General features: G+C 33.2%; 1 protein-coding gene across 23 annotated transcripts in view; it reads left to right on the top strand.

Moving 5' to 3' along the window:
• Positions 1-16,515, top strand: part of TMEM232 (transmembrane protein 232) — a 351,524-nt gene that overhangs the window by 119,841 nt on the left and 215,168 nt on the right. For all 23 annotated transcript variants that reach the window (XR_001742182.2, XR_001742181.2, XR_007058620.1 and 20 more), the window contains 3 exons: positions 552-685; positions 12,827-12,950; positions 13,756-14,005. Coding sequence is in view for 20 of the 23 variants with exons in the window: in XM_011543565.4 (XP_011541867.1) it covers positions 552-685; positions 12,827-12,950; positions 13,756-14,005 (508 nt within the window). In the remaining 3 variants the exon portion in view is untranslated. The remainder of the gene's footprint in view (positions 1-551; positions 686-12,826; positions 12,951-13,755; positions 14,006-16,515) is intronic.

The raw sequence follows: 16,515 nt of genomic DNA, 5'->3' as shown, positions 1-16,515 counted from the left end.
AATTAAATATATAAAACTGTTGGGAAGCACTCTAAGGAAAAACTAAACAACAGCTTATTTGTTATCTGAATTTTTAGGCTTTAAGAACAGTTACTTAACAGACATTGACGATGTCTTGCTAGGCATACATTTTGGTCCTTAAAGTAGAAATCCACATTTTAAAACATAATTTGCTGTTAGCATTTTGTTCAAACTTTCCCCATTCCTTCTTTCTCAAGTGTCAGGGAGAACTAAGTCACATAGAATCTACGAACCACAATTGTGTCTAATAGCTATCCCTTATGTGATCCAGAATTTTTGCTGTATTGTAGAGCTGATATCATTGAACACAAGAGACCCATGTGAAAAATACATACATTAGGTTCGGGTTAACTGTATGTACTTCAAAAATATGCTTATGTAAATTGCTCCACTTGGTGAAATATAAAGTGTAAGAGAATATGCATTTTCATTTGTATATTTAAAATTTATTTTCATGTTTGTTCAAGTCAGAGTACTCTTTCTCATATATTTTTATATTTTAATTCCTGAAACATTTGCAATTTAATCAGGGAGGATATGAAATTAACCACCTGCTCTGGCACTGTGTTGCTGCTTGGTCTTGTGTTCAGAATAACAGTCCTCAGTTGAATAACGTGCTTGAACATCTCGTCTTCCATAAGACACAGCTTCAAAAGAAATGCTGGTAAGAGTGATCCTATAAATCCAAAGTAACTCATGGAGAAATCTTTGTGCTTAAATGTTAAATAACCCTTGTACCTAAATGTTAATCACACCTCAGTTGACTATGAAACAAATTTATAATCTCAGTTCCAAAGGCAATGGCAATTTACATGTTTAGTATTAATTCATTTCATCAATACATCGTTTCTCTCTTTTTCTGCTTTGCTAGATGTGCACGCATACACTGCATAGTTTTTTTTTTATTAAATGCAGTTTTTTATTAACAAAAAGTTTATGCCTGCATTGCAAACAGCCTTTATATTCCAAGTTGTTAAACAAAAGCAGTGAAACACAATATATTGTTAGAGAAAATATACTGATACTGTATTTCTTTATGCCTTACTTGTAATGTATAACAAAAATGAATCTTAAAAAAAAATTTTTTTTGGTCTCACTCTGTCACCCAGGCTGGAATGCAGTGTTGCAGTGCCGTGATCTCCGCTTACTGCAACCTCCATCCCTGGGGCTCAAGTGATCCTCCCAGCTCAGCCTCCCAAGTAGCTGGCACCACAGGCATACACCACCACACTGGCTATTTTTGTAGGTGTTTTGTTTGTTTGTTTGTTTGTTTGTTTGTTTGTTGATTTTTTAGTAGAGACAGGGTCTTGCCATGTTGCCTAGCCTGGTCTCCGGTCTCCAACTTCTGAGTTCAAGTGATCTGCCTACCTCGGCCTCCCAAAGTTCTGGGATTACAGGAGTGAGCCACTGCTCCCAGCCAAAAATAAATCTTGACTGACAAATATTAGTTTCCTCCTGTACATATGTTAATTTAAGATGAGAAAAAGAAGAGTCATAGTTTCAGCATGAGTTCAGTGGAGGAAAGATTTTTTAAATTGACAGATAATAATTGTATATATTTATGGGGTATAATGATATGTTAGGATATATGTATATCTTGTGGAATGAGTAAGTCAAGCTTATTAACATATCCATCACCTCACATCCTTATCATTTTTTGGTGGTAAGAACAATTAAAATTTACTCTATTAGCAATTTCAAAATATATTTTTTTTACCATAGTCACAATGCTGCACAATAGATCACTAGAACTCATTCCTCCTGTCTAACTGAAACTTTGCACTCTTTGACTGGCATCTCCTCTTTTGCCCATCTTCCTTACTCCCCATCCCAAGCCTTATACCATTCTACTACCTAGTTCTGCAAGTTCGGCTTTTATAGATTCCACATAGAAGTGAGGTTATGCAGTATTTATTTTTCTGTACTATGCTTATTTCATTTAGCATAATGCCTCGATGTCCATTCATGTTTTTATGAATGACAGAACTTCCTTCTTCTTAAAGACAGGATAGTATTCCATTGTGTATACATACCACACTTTATTTATTCATCAGTCAGTGTGACACGTAGGTTGATTACACATCTTGGCTATTGTGAATAATGCTGCAATGAACGTAGTTCAGTTATCTCTTCAACATACTGATTTCACTTTTTTGGGATATGTACATAGAAGTGGGATTGTTAGATCATATGGTAGTTCTATTTTCAATTTTCAAGGAATCTCCATACTGTTATTACATCAATAATGTAAAAGGATTCCCTTTTCTGAACATCCTCATCAACATCTGTTATCTTTCATCTTTTTGATAATAGCCATTCTAACAGGTGTGAGGTGATAATGTCATTGTGGTTTTACTTTGCCTTTCCCTTATGATTAGTGATGTTGAGCACATTTTCATATGTCTGTTGGCCATTAGTATGTCTTCTTTTGAGAAATGTCTGTTTAGGTCCTTTACCCATTTTTTCATTGGGCTATTTGTTTTCTTGTTATTAAGTTGTTTCAGTTCCTTCTATATTTTATATATTAACTCTTTACCAAATGTATGGTTTTCACATATTTTCTTTAAATATATGGGTTAAAAATGTATGGTTTGCACATATTTTCTTTAAATATGTGGGTTGTCTCTTTACTTTGTTAATGTTTCATTTTATAATTAAAGTAGACTTTAATCCATTTTGAGTTAACTTTTCTATACAGTGTGAGAGAAGGGGCTAATTTAATTCTGCTTGTGGATGTTCAGTTCTCCCAATACCATGTATTGAAGAGATTATTCTTTCTCTATTGTGTATTCTTGGTAACTGTCAAAAATGAATTGACCATAAATGCATGGATTTACTTCTGGTCTTTCTATTCTGTCCATTTGGCAAATGTGTCTGTATGCAATTGCCGTGCTGTTTTGATTACTATAGCTTTGTAATACACTTTAAAATCCAGTTTTGCAATGTTTCCAGCTTTTTTTCTTTTTGCTCAGGATTGCTTTGGATATTCAGGGAATTTTGTGGTTTCATACAAATTTTAAATTTTTTGTCTGTTTTTGTGAAGAATAACATTAAAATTTTGATAGGAATTGCATTGAATCTGTAAATTACTTTGGGTAGTATGGACATTTTATCAATATTAATTTTTCCTATCCATGAACATGGAATATCTTCCCACTTAATTGCTTAGGCTTTATTTTTTTTATTTTTTGCTATTGTAAATGAGATTGTTTTCATAATATCTTCTTCAGATATTCTGTCATTAGTATATAGCAGTGCTATTGATTTTAATATGTTGATTTTATCACCTGAAAATTTCAATTTTACTGAATTCATTTAAAGTCTAACAGTCTTTTGGTTAGCTTTTATAAACATTTTAGGGTTTTCTATATATAAGATCATTTGGTCAGCAAACAAAGATAGTTTTATTGTTTCCGTTCCTGTTTAGATGACTTTTTTTTCTTTTTCTTGCCTAATTGCTCTGGCTAGGCCTTTTAGTATTATGTTACATAAAAGTGGTGAGAGTGAACATTCTTGTCTTGTTCCTGATTTTAGAGAGATGCTTTCAACTTTTCACCATTGAGGATAATGTCAGTTGTAGGCTTGCCATGTATGACCTTTTTTGTGTTGAGGAGTATTTCTGAGGAAACTGATCAGAGAGCACTCTTTTCCAATATTTAAAGAGGATCACAGTTTTGAATTATTTTTCAATGAATATAAAAATAATAATAACTTGTAATGCCATAACAAGTTGAAAATGCAATTGCCACATATATTTATTTAATTAGTTGCTGGTTTTCAGTCTCTGGCAGCCCATTCTACACCAAAGGCCTTTGTATATGTAAATTCTAAGTCCCTCAGAATCAACTGTAGACCCTTCTAAAAGTCTGCAACATTCTTTATGAACAAAAGTTATTTTCTAACTTGTATTTGGAAGTTTGTGGGATTCCAGATTAAGTAAAGAATTTTGGAGGATGGCTTAAAGTTTACCTAATTTCCCTAAAAACACTTTAGATTAGAGTTCATCAATAATTTGTTCTGTCTCACAGTGTGATGGGAGACACCTACTGAGTATTGCAGTTTGACAAAGATTGCAATATTTTTTACATTTTAAAAATAAAGAATAGTATTTATAAATATGAAACTAAAATGCAAATAGATATTTACTATAAATAGCACTTAATATAATTTTACTTAGTATATTTTAATACAGAGCTCCTAAAAACAAAATTTAGAGGTTCTCATTGGTGCAAATTAGGTTATTCTGGAAGTTGTGGTGATTCTTTCAGATAGAAAGTAAGTTGTAGGAGATTCAAATATTTAATTTCTTTTTCAAAATGACAAACAACTAGAACTACGTAAGCCCTTGGAAAACTCTAACTGGATTTAGAACATAACTGAAATTGTATTTTAACATCTAAAAATAAATATTGTGTGACTTGGTCAAATTTATTTAAAAAGTACTCTAATAATTACCAGATAAAAAGTATAAATGATTGCAGAAACAGTAAATGTAGCTGATTAAGAATATCGAATGGTGGAATTCAATTCTTTCTTTAACCGATTTTTAGATTTTGCTGTATTGCATCCACGTCTATTTAATTTAACTTACTAATGATTTGTGTTTAAGGTTGCAAACATTAATGAACCAGTTTTTTTAAATACTTAGTATTTTATAAATGTAGGGCATTAGAGACAATACAAAACTCTTCTTATTTTAAAAATAAAGAAACTGAGGCCAAGTTTATTAGGCTTATTGATGAGTGGAACCAGATTTTAAGAGTTTCGATATAGCACTCTCTCCAATGCATCATTCAACTGTCATTCTAGTTGCATTGTTAAGCAGATAACTGCTTTGAGACAGCCTGTCACTGAATCCTGACTTTTTCTGGGAGGATATTTTGGAAATTATCAAGTGAAGAAGGGGATAGCAGTGTTTAGACAATGCTCAATGAACAGAAGAGTAAAGTGAAAAATACAATGACTGCTCATAATAGAAAGGAAAACAATAATTGCTTTAAACAGTACTGCCAAATAGTTTTGATTCTGTTTTATATAGTTACTTTTTTTATTTTAAGGAAAAGATTTAATCTTTTTTTTAAAAAAGATTAGTTGGCTCTAGCAAACAAAAACTATTGACATTAAAAGAATAATTTGTGTTTTTAGGTTAGCAATTTGATTAACTATTCTGTTAATAATAACATTATACCAAATATTTTAAAATCAACTTTTCTCCTTACAAAATATTTATTTATATAAAGGCCTGTATAGGTTTCAAGAGGCCATAACTCCAGATAAACAATATACACTGTAATATAATTACCAAAATAAAACCAGAAATGATTTTATATTTCTAGAGAATCTTTAATATTGGTCTTATGTACTCCTAAGATACTACTGGGTACATGCAAAAAATTAAGAAAATGAACTGCATGTATTCAGAATGAAAAAGAAATATTGAGGCACCAGGCCCTGATGATGCATTAAGACTTCATCAGGATTTGCTGGACTAAATAGTCTTAAAATTGTGACACTTGGTGGAAGACACCTTTGGTTTAACACCTAAAGTTCAATGCCAGTGACCATTAGCAGGAGTAACTTTAGCAATTTCATTTGCCGTACATTTCAGGAAAGTAACATAATGTTGAACAAATGTTCCGAGATTTAAAAGCAAAGAGAGACCATTCAACTGAAATATCAGAAGAAATTTTATTTATAGTGGCAAAAATGGCTTGTGCTTGTGCCCATGAAATTGAAATGTACTCATATGCCCATTTCTGATGCTATTGGTCAGTAGATAATTCATCATGTATCTCCCTGCATGACTTCTAGTAACCCCTTTTATAAAGATCCTACAGTACAAAAAGAAACAAATAGAAGCAAATGGTTTCAGCTGAGCTTGGAAAACAGCAGGTTCAGGATCCACAAAAGGGCTCAAGGAAGGCAATCACAGAATTAGAGCAGCCTCGCTGGGGGACAGGGAAAAACTGGGGAAAGAATACACTGAAGACAATAAATTATAAAAGCCAATGAAGTAAAGAAAAAGGGACTGCAGGAGTCCCCTCCCAGCTGCCATGCATTGGCCTTTATCTGCCCATAGCTGGAGATAAGCAGCTTGCTGGAAGGCAGATTTCCACTTAACGCAGTTAAATTTTATATGATGCTTCATACTCTCAATGCTCCACCCTGTGGTTTGGCCTTTTATAAACGGCACTATTTGCTCTGGGGAGATAGCTCAAGTCAACGCAAAAGACTTTCTAATCTAACATGAAAATAATGAATTGTGTTTATAATTGAATTATTAGCCAATGAAGACTGCTGAGAAAGGCAGTATGGCATTTCATTCGAGCAGTATGACGTAAAATTATATCTTCCAACACAAAATAACTGATTTAATATGCTCCATAAGTGTATTCCAAAAAAAAGCTTGACAATTTAAAACTGTCTTGAACATGGCAAGTGTTTTCCAGACATACTGTTTGTGTTTGCATCGAAATGAATGAAACAAGGAATTAACTGTATGGGCGGCAAGGCACTTCCTTTTCAGCTAGATCACTGATATCCACATTATTTATATCCTTGATCCTACTAATTATGATGTCCATGTGATGGTCTAACCTAGAGCATTCCAACAAAAGTTTGCATCAGTACTCCTTCATTTCTTATGAACTGAAATGTCAATGTAGGTTTTCGTTGTTTGTTTATTTCCTTGATGCTTCTTGATTCATTTCTTGGATTTCTTATTGATCCTTTGATCCCTGGAGCCAATTATAACTTAGTCTGTATCAAGGGTAAATACCCACTATATATGCTGCTACATTATCATACAGCGAAAAAGCAATGCAACCTGAAACCAGAAGACATGAATTTTAGTCTTGTCTTTTGCTACCTGTGTAATTTTGAATGTTGCTTAACCCCTATGAACCCCAGGGTCTGTTTAGCAGTTATATCGAGATAACAGCAACCTCAAAGAGCTTTTGAAAAATTTAAATGAGATAAGTAATATGAAAAACATCTGTTAGACTGTAGATCTTCCCTGGATACTACATGTCCTGCCAGTTCATATTTGAACTAATTTTTCCCCCAGTCAGGCTCCTGCCTCTTGAATTTCTACCTCAGTACACGTCGTCGTGTCCTTTCCTCCAGCTAACCAAATCAGACATCTTATCTTCTCCATCTCACTTTCTCCATCCAATTCAGGATCTGACGGTGTTGTATGTACATTAATTACACTTCGAAACTGTTCCCCTGCTCTCTGTTCCCAATGTCATAACCTTGGTTTGGGCTCTTATTGTCTCTTGACGATTGTAGCTTTTTAACTTGTCTCCTTGCTTTGCGTTCGTCCCCTCAACAATCTGTCATACACTATGCTGCCAGGGCTATAGCATAACTGTGACTATAACACTCTTCAGCTTAAAATTATTCAGTAAGAACTGTTTTATGTGATACGGAAGCTGCAGCCCCAATCAGTGTCTCATAAATTGCCATTATATTGAAAAAAATAAAAACAAAAATGATGACTGAAAGATTCTGCTGGTAGGATTAATTACCACCAGCCAATCAACAGCCAGAAACGCCTGATAGGTCTGGGTGGAGGGAAACAGTTAGTGCCCCATCTCTGCCTTCCCTGATGAGAGGGCAGTCATTGCTTGTCTGAGGCTCCATCCCTTCACTCTCCCACACCAGCTTCCCTGGAACTCAAAGAATGAAGTCCTGTAAGCAGGAGAAAAAGCCTTTTAACAGACAGGCTAAAGCCTACATTTTTGTCATCCATCTTTTCTGAGTAACAAAAATCAGGCAATGGCAAGGTAAATTTATTCTTTAAAATAGTTTCCCTAAGCAGTAAAAATCAAGAATGAAATACTAACTGCCCTCTTCTCCATGTGCAGTAACAACTGAGACAAATTTATTTACACTAATTCTCCCCTTCCTAGTCTGTTAATATAATCTTGAGTTCTGATAACATTATAGTTAAGTAATTATTTCAGATGTTCTGTCTTCTCCTTAAATAATTATTTATATATCTGCATTTAATTATTTGGTCATATTTATAAAATTATTTTTGTTTATTAAAACTTACCTATTTTTCTTCTACTCACCTGCAGCCATTTAACACTAGGATTTTCCTTTCTTAAACTGTTCAATACTATTAATTTCTTTCTTAGCTTGAATAAATTTCTAAGTATGTTTTATGATTACTTAGGTAAGGCCAAGATTATATACGAACCTTGGCTGGCTATAACATTTATCACCATTTCTTTTTTCTCTAAAAAGTATGATGTACATTTTATCTGGTAATAGACTTCTATGATAACAGTGTTTATTTTTTGTTTAATTCCCCCTTCAAATTTCTAAATGTTGCTATGTTGTTTCCTAACACAGTTATGATGAGATGTTCGAAGTCGTCAGTCCTCTTGTTTTTATATGTTTAATTTTCAGTCCAGAATTTTTTAGGAACATCTTTGTGATTTAGTAGGCAGGAGTTAACTGGCACCCTTTCTTGTCCATGTTAGGAGCCTATTGAGGCAAATCCTGTGCTTTACCTAGAGAGAAACTTCACTTTGAGAAGCTCTGCACAAATACTATGGCTGCTGGTCTACATTTTTTCAAGGTCTTGTATTGACTACTCATAGTTCATATGTGTTCCCAACTTCTGCCTCTCTGTGCTTAGGGGTTTTTATTTATTTTTATTTTATTTTTTACATTATGGTGGGAAAACCCATGTATTTCTCATGAATACTTGCATTAAATTTTGGACTTTTTGTTATTAGAAATATTTTTCTTTAGTTGGGCCCCATTTACTTCATAACTATAAATTTTTCTCCCTCCCTTCACCCACCCACCTTCCTCCCTTCCTCCCTTCCTCCCTTCCTTCCTTTCTTTTTCCCTCCCTCCCTTCCTTCCTTCCTTCCTTGTTCCTTCCTTCTGTAATTAGATAGGAATAGGTATGCTTTCTGCATTTTCCTCTAAATTATGAAAGACTTTTCTCTGTTATTTCTGTAGTTAACTTCCTCAACTATGGATTTTAATTATATTTTTACATTTTAATTTCTTTGCAATCTCCTACCTTACTCTACTACCTTTCATCTCGGCATCAAGGCTTTTCTTTGTGGTTTATTATTCCTGGGCTTTATTAAAGATGCATAAATGTCTTGTAAAAATAACTTCTGGTTCCTGTAAGAAATCATTTTCAGAATTATGACCCTCTCTGAGTACTGAGACTGATACTCTCTTTAGCCTTTGCTGTAATCTATTTTCCTTAGTCTTATATAGTTCCCTCTTCTTCATTTTCCAGTTACTTATTCTAGAACCAGGAGAAATATATAAAAACTGTATTTTTAAATAAGAGGTTTGTGTTCACAGCATTCATAACAAAGTTGGTAAAAATTACAACACTCAATGTGTAAAATTATCAGGCAGCTTCCTGTGTTCTCCTTACTCTTGGATAGTTTACCTGTGAGGAAAAAATGCACTTCTGTATTCCAATTTTATCATCCCTCTTCCCACCTTCTCCCATCCCACATGCCTATAGACACTGTATACTACCCTTTTCATTACCAGGATGTTATCATCTCTGAAAAAATATGGAGAGATGAGAATGAACTCAAATAATACTCTCACTACTTAAAAAAAAAATCAGTACCTTAAGATAAAGGATTGGCTGCACTTTCTCTGATTCTATGCAAAATAGGGTAAACAGTAGAGATTATTATTTTTAAAAAAAGTTTTTTCTTTTACTTTTTTTGGGGAAAACAAGGCTGCTGTGTTTCAAGAAGTGGCATGTGGGTGCTCCTTATTGCTTTCAGCTTTATCAACTTTATGGTTTATGGAAATTCCCTTTAAGTTGCTATTATTAGTGATGTCTCTTTCTGTTTTCGGGATCATGTGGATTTTTGACATTGTCAATGCTTTCTGGAATATTTGTCGCAATGTTGAAATAAGTTGGCAAGGGTTGCTACTTAGAGACATTTTAATTCCATTTAAAAATTAAAATCCACTAATTGAGGAAATGGATATAGAGGAGTAAGAAGAACCTAGGAAAACTTTTAAATGCTGATGTTCCTAACTTCTATAAATGTGTGCATGTGTGTATGTATATATTGTTATTTTAGACAAGCCAGTAAAACTCTGGCTCAGTTTCTTTATTTACAAAATTAGAGCAAATCTATAATAGTTACATATTATTTTGTACAACTTTAATTTCATGGCAATGTAAAACCAAGTCAATATGCTGATACTTGAGACTTTCTGAATTATAATGAGTTCACAAAGAAGCTAGTGCTGTATGAAAATTTCTAGCCTAATCCAATTTGAATTCCTTTCTATGTGCATTGATTTTCAATTTTACTTTTGTTTTCGACAAACTCCAGTTTATAAGTATTGATGTTTCTGTTTTTGACGAAAGCATTTTCATTCACAGATAATTTTGTGATCAGCAGCATTAATTGAAAATAGTGTGTTGCTGGTGAAGCATTTCTCTACCGTAGGTGGCTAACACTGATGGATCTTTTTCAATCCATAGTTCAATGAGACTATCCTAGGTTAGCTACAATTTTCCAGACTTGAAAGAGAAAAGAAGAATCAAAACCTTCTGATTATGAAATATATTCAGGGGAAAAGAAGTTTTACGAACTCTATGAGTATCCTCTCTTTTAATTGACCGTAATATGAAGTATAAATGATAAGTAGTCTGGGGAATGACTTATTCTCCATCTTGGTGGTCATCTGGATAGACTTCTCCTTCCAGTCACTCTATGACTTTAATGAAGACATTATCAAACTCATATCTTTTTTATGTCAAAGAAATAGTATGTTTGGAATTCAATTTAGCATTCTGAACCTTGTCATTTTACATAGAGTATTTCATTCAAATCTCACAATAATCTCTAAAAAGTGAGTTTTGCTGTATTTTCTTTATAGACAAGTAAATTAAGACTGAGGTAGGGTACATAAATTGCCCTATAACATATGCCTAATTAGTGGCAGAGCTAAGATTTCATCTTGATGTTTCCAACTCTAAAGTTCATGTTCATAAGCATCATGTTAAGTGCATCAATTAGGATTTTGTCTTATTTGGCAGAAACCTGACTACAATTGCATAACCAAATAGCTTTCTTTATTGCACATGACAAGTAGTGCAGTGCTGATGTGAGTACTTAAGGAAATCTTCAAGGTCCAAGCTTCTTCTAGCTTCCTTTTCTGTCATGTATAGCAGGTGATTTTTATCCTCCTTGTTGAAAGAAGGCTGCTGTGCCTTATGGTATCATGGAATATATGCATTACAAGCAGGAGGAAGAGGATGCGCAAAGGAGAAAAATAACACCTGTTATTTAATTTTAAAATTTTTTCTTAACCAGAAAAATAATAGCTTACCTGGAAGTCTTCATAATATGCTTCCTTTTCTAGCTCATTAACCAATCTGCACTGTATGGCTATTCCAAGCTTCAAGGGAGTCTAGGCAGTCAATTTTAAATCAAACTTACTGAAATATAAATTAGATACAATGAACTTCATACATTAATGTACACAGGTCTATGACCTTGGGCAAATGTATACACTCATGTAATCACTACTCCAATCAAGATACAGAGAATTCCATCTTGAGGGGGCTAACTTAATTGAGCATATTGCCATTTTGAACAAAATTCATGTTCCATTAGAAAAGGAGACAAATAGTATTAGGTAGGCAATAGGCAGCACCTGCCACACTAAGGTTAAATATTGACATTTATGTAATGGTTTAGAAAAGCAGAATTGCAAGACAGAAAATACTTCTTGGTGGGAGAAAACTTGAGTTACAACTAATCTAGCTTAAAAAGGGAACTTGGACAAGTCCCTCTGACCTATTTATGTCTCAGTTTTCTAGTATGAAAAAAGGTCTTGAAAAATCTTAAATGTGTCAAAAATTGTTTTTCAAATCAAATGAAATAATTTATGTGAAAGCACATTGACCTCTGTAAAGCCCTATTTAATATGAAGAATTGTCTTTAATTTTCATAATAAGAATGGTCTGATTTAGAAAATGATGATGACCTTGAACTTATGGGCCTGAAATATCACAGTTGTGAAATTCAAATAATCTTGTAAAATATACTAACTTTTAAATTTATTAATGGTCTACAAATCAAGGCAATAAACAGCTATGACCAAAGTAATTTTTAATTTGTTCTCTTATTAGTTCTCTTTCAAACTATTTTTCATTTAGTAAAAGTATCACAAATATGTAATTTTCAAAACCTTCAAAATATATGTACATTTATAACTAACAAATTCTTGTATGATTTCCCAGTTTTTATAATATTAAAAAAAACTAGTCTTTCATTCATGTGAAATATAAATTTTATTTTGAGAAATTTTACTTTTTCCAAAATCAAAGAGTGTTGAATCTTTGGAGTATCTTAGAAGAAGGCCGTTTTTAAAAAATTGCTGTGTTTTGAGAAGAAAACACTCTCTTGAAATTCACCTTGTGGAATCAGTTGCAAGAGGTTAAACATTAAAACCTATTGTGAGTTTTTGGGGGTACTCTAGAACCAGAGCCCCTGATTGCTTGTTGTTCAGGATCTATGAAGAAATGTGATTATATGTGATATTTATTACTCAGATTCGTCAGAGCACTACTCTGAACTCAAACATATTACCAAAATGTGTCTCTTCTTTGCATATTTTTACCATAATGAGAAGCAATACTAATCTTTATTGAAAATAAATGTATCTGGTAATGCAGACATGCATTTCCTCTGACCTATTTCATTTTTTCACATTAAAAGTTGATTATTATTATTATTTTCCATTAAAATCTTTATCCTTTCGTCCATAAAATTTTCAGGTTGGATTCAGTACTGGCTTTACTGGTCCTTGGGGAGGCTGCCAAATTAAACATGGCCTGCTTGAAAGCTTTAATGGACGTAGTGAGAGATTTTGTTTCAAGCATTATGTCTGTTCAAAATCAGGTAACATTGCTAATTTATATGTGAAAAGAGAACCGAAGAGAAACAGATTTTATTTTTGCCACTATTTAAATTGTATATCGTATTAGCGCATATAGTATGCATAACTTTATAATAATAAATTTAATTAAATATAAAAGCAAATTCACAGTTACCATTTATCATAAACATTTTTCATTTTCATTACATAATATTAAAATTTATATTTTGGTTGGGGTAAGTTCATTTATTGAAACATTTCTGTATTGTTGGTTATTAAATTTGTTTCTAATTGTTCACAGTTAATTATAAGTAATGTTGAATTGTTATTCTCATACATAAAATCTCTATCAACACTTCTGTTTCTTTAGAGTAGGCTAATAAAATTAAATTACCAAGTGAAAGACTGTGAAGTTTCTTTCAGAGTTTTTGGGACAGATGTCCAAATTATTCTCCATAAGATATATTAATAACTTTCTTGGATTCCTATGAACAATAAATGAAAGTGTCACACACTAGAATGGAGTTGTATATCAAAAGGTTCCTTTTGAATATGATATGGAAAATAGTATCTCATTGAATTAATTTACATTCCATTGACTGCTAAGTAAATTGCAAAGTTGTTCTATATATAATTATTAGCTATCTATATTTTTTATTCTTTGAACTGTATTTTATGCAGTCTACTCATGGTAAACCCATTTTTTAATGAACACATTTAGATATATTAGTTTATTATGGTCTTTTAACAATTATTATAAGTACACTGTGTAGTTATTGATATGCAAAGATATACTTTGATGATCAAATATCTATTTTCTCATTTCAGGAAGAAAGTTGCAAGGTAGATGATTTTTCCTGGGCCTGGAATGTAGTCTACATATATACAGTAATTCTTGCAGAAATCTGCTTGTATGCAGCCACTTCTGATTTGCGAAAAACTGCTTTAATTGGTTTCTGTCACTGTAAAAGTTCACAAAAAAATATTTTATACTTGGACAAATCAGTACCTCCAGAATTAAAGGAAACAAGTATTTTAAGTCTTTTGGAATATTTCTCTTCAAAAATGTCAGAGAACTGTAAGTAGATTGTTTTTTACTTTGATGAGTAATATTTTTAAGTGTCACTGTCTACATATAGTAATAAGCATTCTACTCAAAGTTAATATTTAGAAATAGCAACTAATTTTAAATTTTACAAATTTTGGAAGAATATAGCATGATTTATTTTTTGAGGCCAGGTGTCACTCTGTCACCCAGGCTGCGGTGCAGTGGCGTGATCCCTGCTCACTGTAACCTCCTCTTCTGCTTCAAGCCTTTCTCCTGCCTCAGCCTCCTGAGTAGCTGGGACTACAGGCACTCGCCACCATGCCTGGCTAAGTTTTGTATTTTTAGTAGAGCTGGGGTTTTGCCATGTTGGCCAGGCTGGTCTCAAACTCCTGACCTCAAGTGATCCACCACGTTTGCCTTCCAAAGTGCTGGGATTGCATTCGTGAACCACTGCGCCCAGCCAGAAAATTTTTATCAATAATTTTAAAACAACTGAAATAAAAGTTAGATTCAGTTGACTGATGATTCAAATTATATTCCTTGAAAACAAAAGATGGATTTAGGCAAACCTGGGTGGTGTATATGAAGTTTATTTCCTCTTTATTTTTATTTTGTTCCCCATAGGATTTATCTTCTTTCCTCCATTTTCTCTAGGCATTTACTGTTTCCCTCTTGCTCCTTTCCTGCCCAGAGGATTTCTCTACAATTACTTCACTCAAATATTCTAGTATAATATTCACACCTGACATCTTATAGTCCATCAAATAGTAGCTGTCTTATGTCTCAGGACTAAAGGTCATTTTGCTACTGTATTTATGGGAGATAATAGAATAAAACATTTTGATTTTTCCAAGAGTACTATGGGGACAATGTTAACTCAAAGTAGTCTTTTGTGGTTGAAAAAAACTTTACAGATTTATTGTGAAAAATAATTGCAATTTATATATTATTATAGTCTATTGTGTATGTGATTCTCACTTCCATTAAATGCTGAGATAATTGATACTGAAGAATCATGTCTGAATTATATTTCTAGTAACCCAGCATCTAGCATAATAATACATAATAGGTAAGCAATTATGATAGTGGATTTATAATGTAATTAAATAAATCATTAAATTTCAGATATAATTGCAAGATTTTGGAAGGATTTAAAGAAGTAAGATATTGTCTTTAGCCAAAACCATAATTCACTGATTTGGGGGAAATTATGATTGAGTATAATTTTAAATAGTAAGACTTTAGAAATAGATACACATTTCATTCTCAAAAACTTGCTCACTATTTTTAAATTGCCTTCAATATATTTTTGGCTTAATCAATAGATTGAAACCCAGCTTCTGAGTGTAATTAGTGTGACCTTTTCCCACTTTTCAAGCTTTTATTTTTTTATTGGTGCCAATTTTAAACAGATCTTTATTCTTAAGTACAAAAATTATATTTCTTCCATGTTTATATTATTAATAAAGTGAAGATAAATGAAGGTACTCATTTCTTTTGCTGTTCACAATCTTAGTTATTCAGAATGTCAGAAATTTTCCTACATAGCAGCTCAATACATGATTTTTAAACCACCACTAAACAGACTCATCTACAATTTTGGCCTTCAATTCTTGTCTGGCTATGTAGGTTAGTTTTTCCTCACTTCTAGTGGTAGGTCCAGAAAAGGCCCTCCATGGGAAGAATCTTTACTCCCAGAAACCTCTTGGCCTCCCTTTGGTCATGACCCCCTGTACTCTGGCATAATCTTATGATGATGGGATTGCACGTTTCTGTGGATACTCACAAAACTCACATTTTTTTCCTCCTCAACAGTCTGATATTTTTAAATTTATGTATTATTATACTTTAAGTTCTGGGATACATGTGTAGAACTTGCAGGCTTGTTACATAGGTATACATGTGCCGTGGTGGTTTTAAAACCCATCTTCTTCAATTTAAGCCCCTCATGCATTAGGTATTTGTCCTAATGCTCTCCCTTCCCTTGCCCCCAACCCCTGACAGGCCCGGGTGTGTGATATTCCCCTCCCTGTGTCCATGGGTTCCCATTGTTCAACTCCCACTTATGAGTGAGAACATGCAATGTTTGGTTTTCTGTTCCTATGTGAGTTTGCTAAGAATGATGGTTTCCAGCTTCATCCATGTCCCCACAAAGGACATGAACTCATTCCTTATTATGGCTTTATAGTATTCCATGGTGTATATGTGCCACATTTTCTTTATCCAGTCAATTATTGATGGGCATTTGGGTTGGTTCCAACTCTTCGCTATTGTGAATAGTGCTGCAATAAACATACGTGTGCATGTGTTTATAGTAGAATGATTTATAATCCTTTGGGTATATACCCAGTAATGTAATTGCTGGGTCAAATGGTATTTCTGGTTCTAGATCCTTGAGGAATCTCCACACTGTCTTCCACAATGGTTAAACTAATTTACACTCCCACCAACAGTGTAAAAGCATTCCTATTTCTCCAGATCCTCTCCAGCATCTGTTGTTTCCTGACTTTTTAATGATCGCCATTCTAAGTGGTATGAGA

This window comes from Homo sapiens, chromosome 5 (assembly GCF_000001405.40).
Source record: "Homo sapiens chromosome 5, GRCh38.p14 Primary Assembly".
In the NCBI taxonomy this organism is placed as follows: Eukaryota; Metazoa; Chordata; class Mammalia; order Primates; family Hominidae; genus Homo; species Homo sapiens.
The sequence above is the reverse complement of the archived record's forward strand: the minus strand, read 5'-3'. Positions and strand labels throughout refer to the sequence as shown.